Source organism: Homo sapiens, chromosome X (assembly GCF_000001405.40).
Source record: "Homo sapiens chromosome X, GRCh38.p14 Primary Assembly".
Lineage (NCBI taxonomy): Eukaryota > Metazoa > Chordata > Mammalia > Primates > Hominidae > Homo > Homo sapiens.
In genome coordinates, this window is record NC_000023.11 from 101,857,578 (window position 1) to 101,862,816 (window position 5,239).

Sequence of the window (5,239 nt, forward strand, 5' to 3'; positions counted from 1 at the left end):
AATGCTGAAATGAGAGAAAAATAAAATGGATTATTTAAGCTACATGTAATATAAAATATCTCAAGTTTAACCTTATTTCAAACAACAGTTAAATCTACCATAAATGTAAACGCAATCCTTTATTTGAAGAACTTTATTCATTTAGTACCATCTTCATGAATTTTTAAAAATGAGAATATCGCCTATAATTTTGCTTAAATCTTTTTTTAAAATGATTCACTATTTTTTTCCACATGGAGGAAAAGTGAGAGTTTTCAAGAAGGAGTCTAAAAAGCAATTGTTAGAAAAATTGGAGCGAGGGGTTGTGGTGCAGAAGAAAATAGTGTCTGGCTGGACTAGTTTAAGCTATTTAGAGATCCCAAGCACAACAAGATTATGGCATCCTATTCCATATGTACTTTGAAAACAAACGGACTTCCAAGTAAACATAAGAACAAATTTCGAGTCTTCACCTGATGGCTACTTTCACATTTTTATCAATATATCAAATTCTTTTTTAAAAGTCTTTCTCCCTCCCTCTTTACAAAATCAAATAAGACATAGAAATTAATATTGTATTGGGAATCATCTATACAAACTGGCGTCTAGGGAGTCTCAAGTGTCCTTAATAACAGCATGGTCAGAGGAAGAGCAAAGGACATCATGCTGATTCATCCAGCATTGAATCAGGAAGGCCTTTAGTGTGTGTTGCGGGAGGGGGTTTCCCACCTAGGCTCTACAGCCCTGTGGCTGAGATGACTTAGAAGTCCATGAATCCACAATGGTTGAACTAGTTTACAGTCCCACCAACAGTGTAAAAGTGTTCCTATTTCTCCACATCCTCTCAGTAAACTATCGCAAGAACAAAAAACCAAACACCGCATATTCTCACTCATAGGTGGGAATTGAACAATGAGATCACATGGACACAGGAAGGGGAATATCACACTCTGGGGACTGTGGTGGGGTCGGGGGAGGGGGGAGGGATAGCATTGGGAGATATACCTAATGCTAGATGACACGTTAGTGGGTGCAGCGCACCAGCATGGCACATGTATACATATGTAACTAACCTGCACAATGTGCACATGTACCCTAAAACTTAGAGTATAATAAAAAAAAAAAAAAAAAAAAAGAAGTCCATGAATCCATGCTGTCTTCCCTAACCCACCTCACCGCCAACTCCCTTAGCCGCACCTTCTGCCCCAGTGCTTTCTACTCCTCCACTTCACTTTCTACCAACAATAGCTCCTATGAGTTCAGGATCAAGACAGATACACACACACACACACACACACACACTGCCAGGCATACAAAAGTTTGGCCAGATTCAGAAAGCCCTCTGTCTCCACTTAACCCCCTCTCAGGCTCTCTGCTATTTGGAGGCCACTTGGCCACCCCTTAAAGTTCAATTCTATGAGTAATCATCTAGTACTAGCCAGAATACCAAAATACCACCTAGTGTGGCAGAATATAGGAGTTGGTGGAAAAGTTGGGATTGCAGCCAGAGTCTGATCAACTATCAGCCTTAGCGAGAGCTCTGATCATAATTCTAAAGATCTTCTGCACCTGTAGCTCAGACTCTTCAGAAGGCCAAACATGGCTACAATACTTAATCGGCAGGGTCTGGTGCATGACCACAGGGAAGGTCACATGACTCCAGGATCCGTGTAACGCGTAAGTGTGGGGCCCTACCTGGCTGCTAGGTGCTTGCCTGGCAGGAGCTACATGATTGTAAGAATCAAGTGACCTCAGGGTTCAGGAGTCTTCAATTTTTATGTGACTAAAAGGGTTGAGCCACATGGTGATAGTGTGGCACGTGACCATAGGATTCACATGTACAATAGCCATAGTATAGCTCTGGTGCTCACATGACTGCAAGGGCTTTGCCTGCTGCGTGATGGTAGGAGCCATATGGCTGCCGACACATGGATCTGCAGAGTTCAGCTGCTCACAATCTTCACGTGAGAGAGCTGAGCCTGACACTGTGTTTGTTATGGGGAGGGATGTACTTGACCATAGCATTTACATGACCCTAAATAGTAGGCCATATATAGGACTTTGGGGGCTGAGACTTCCACATGCTGGTAGTTAGTGATGACCACCTGACAGCATTCAAGTGAACGGCAGGTTTCAGGACTCTAGTGACTAGAACAGCTGGAGCCACAACATGATCATACTGGCAACATGACCAGAAAGATCACTTGACCTCAGAGTTTAAAAGTCCATGGTGCTGCCATGACCAGTAGGGCTGTAGTTGTAGGGCTCCTAATCATATTGTCCTCATGATGGCAACTTCCAAGTGATCTGCAGCCTTAGGGACTGACAAGGCTCCAGTGCCCAGGAGGGATGTGTCAGCTTGGGTTATCTTCCTGACAGTAGGGTCCCGTGACAGTAGGGTTCTTCTGATCTGCAGGCTTTAGGGCACCATTCTGTTCATAAGACCTGGAGCTCTGAGATTGCCCACATTACTGAGATGGTGGTGCCTCCAGGTGATCTGCCACAGCATACAAGCTTGGGCTTTAGCTACCTTCACCCCTCCTTGATGTGTTAATTTTACGTGGTTTTTTTTTCTAATAACACATAAAATATAAGGGAACTCAATTTGGTCAGGGTACCACTTGTGCTCTGGGAGGGCAATTTCCCTTATGACAACTACCCAAAGGAGGTGTTGATGCTGGCACAGGCCAACCTATGGGATCTATCTGGGTCTACTATCCATTTTCCACCACTGACTTGTTTAATTGGAAAAACAACAAGCTCACTTATCAGGAGGATCCAAAGCAGATGGAGAAGATGTTTTCCTCCATATTTGCTACTCATAACCCCACCTGGGCAGACATCCAAAATTTATTTAACATACTAACCTCAGAGGATGGGAGAATGGTTTTAGATAAAGCTTGGGAGGAAGCTGATTGAATGCATACCGACTCTCCTGGCAATCTGGTAAGAGCAGCTGCCCAAAGAAGTGCCCACCATTGACCCAAGATGGAACATAAACACATTCCATAATGTAATGTAATGTAAACACATACACACAAGCTTATAGACTACCAGGATTGCATTTTGGCTGGTCTCTGCCAGGGAGTGCCCAAGCAAAGAAGCCTCAGTAAGGTACAGGAAGTTAGACAGAAACCTGAGAGCCCCTAGAGGCCTTAGAGTGGGTTTTCAAGGCCTTCAGACAGTACAAACATACTGACCCAGAAGTCGCAGACAATTAAAAAATGGTAGACATGATGTTTATTAACCAAAGTGCCCCAGATATTCAGAAAAAGCTGCAAAAGCTGGATGAAACTTTAGGAATGTCTTTGTCATGATTGGTGGAGAAAGTATTTACTGATCAAGATGAAGAAATGGAAAAAAAAGCAGAAAATGAAGAAGCAGGCTGATTTACTGGCTGCAGCTTTAACTCAAGGAGTCTCTGGGCCATGATGGGGGGCCCCAGCAGGCTTACCATCCAAGGTAGGAGCACCCAGGCCCCAAACTGTCAATAAAAAGAGACATCCCACTGCAGGTCCCAAACAGTATGCCTATTGCAAACAGGAAGTTCACTGGAAACCAAAAAACAACCATTGCCCATGCTTCAAAAAGCCCAATGCTGGGAAAAGTCAGCCTTCAGTCAACCTAATGCCCAGGATGGCTGAAGCGCTTGAGGCAGATCAGGAATTACAGGGCCCAGGGGTTCCACTCAACCCAGACCACACCCTCCTATATTTCCCACATGGAGCCCTGGGTTGCAATGATGGTGGGAAATCAGCTTTTGGACTTCTTAGTAGATTCTGGTGCCTCTTATTCAATATTGAACACCTGGTTGTCCAAACTTTCTTCACGGACTATGAAAGTGACTGAGGTCTTGGGAAAGATACTGACAAGATCATTCCTCCAACCATTGGACTTTCAACTAGGACAAGCTCAATTAAAACACAGTTTCCTATATATGCTTGAATGCCTGATCCCTTTGTTGGGGTAAGACCTGACCAAATTAAATGCTAATGTTATCTTTTCCCTGGGACAGCTGAACATCTAGGTGCCTCTGGAACAACTCTGTAGGCTGTTTTGTTACAACTAGAAGTTCCTGAAAACACCTCCATCTCTGAGGAGATACTCCAAAAGGTGAGTCTGGAAGCCTGGGTGGATAGGAGGCCAGGCAAGATGAAAACTGCACCCCCAGTGTGAGTCAATGTTTGTTCAGAATTAACACTGCCAAATCTAAAATGGTACTCTCTGAGAGAATAGGCACGATTGGATATTCAGTTTCTGTTGAGGCAAAATTCTGATGAATTTTTCTGGTTTTCAGACTTAGACCTAAAAGATGCCTTTTTCTGTATTCTTCTGGATCCATAGTCCCAAGAGCTGTTTGCCTTTGAATAGGAAGATCCAGATTCTAAAGTCTGACAGCATGTACTGTTGGACAGTGCTTTCTAAAAGTTCAAAAACTCTTCAACAACCTTTGGGGAAATACTTGCCAAGGACCTCCAGTATCTCCAATTAAAAGATGGGACTTTGTTACAATATGTAAATGATATGTTAATAGCCAGCACTATTAAGACAGACTCTGAACAGAACACTATACTGACTTTAAATTTCCTGGCAGAATAGGCAGACCAGGTATCCAAGGAAAAGGTACAGATCTCACAGCCCATGGTCAAATATCTTGTGTTTGAACTTTCCCAGGGGCAGAAAAATCTGCTCCCAGACTAGAGGGAAGCTCTTGCCAGGGAGGCCAGACCCATCACATGGTGGCAGCTATGAGGTTCTTTGTGTATGGCTGGGTTTTGCCACATCTGGATTCTTAATCTTGGACTTACGGCCAAAACTCTATATGAAGCTTTAAAAGGAATAGACACTGAGCCTCTAGAAAAGACTGGAGAATGTCAAAAAGGCTTTCAAACCATTAAACGAAGATTGTTAACAGTTCCAGCCTTGGGACTCCCAGACATAAGAAAGCCATTAGATTTGTTCATGCATGAGAAACAAGGGATGGGTTTAGGAGTGCTAATCCAAGACCTGGGAAATTAAGAGGCCTGTAGCTTAATATTCAAAACAGCTGGACATTGTCACAAGGGCTTGGCCCTTTTGCCTGTGATCAGTTTCTGCCACCTATGACCTCCAGGAGGCAGAAAAGTTTACTTTGGGGCAAGCTGCCACGGTGCACACCCCTCACTGTGTGCTCTCTCTATTAGAACAGAAAAGGGACTACTGGCTGACTTCTGGAAGCTTGGGTAGATATCAGGCCATACTTCTATATAACCCAAATGTG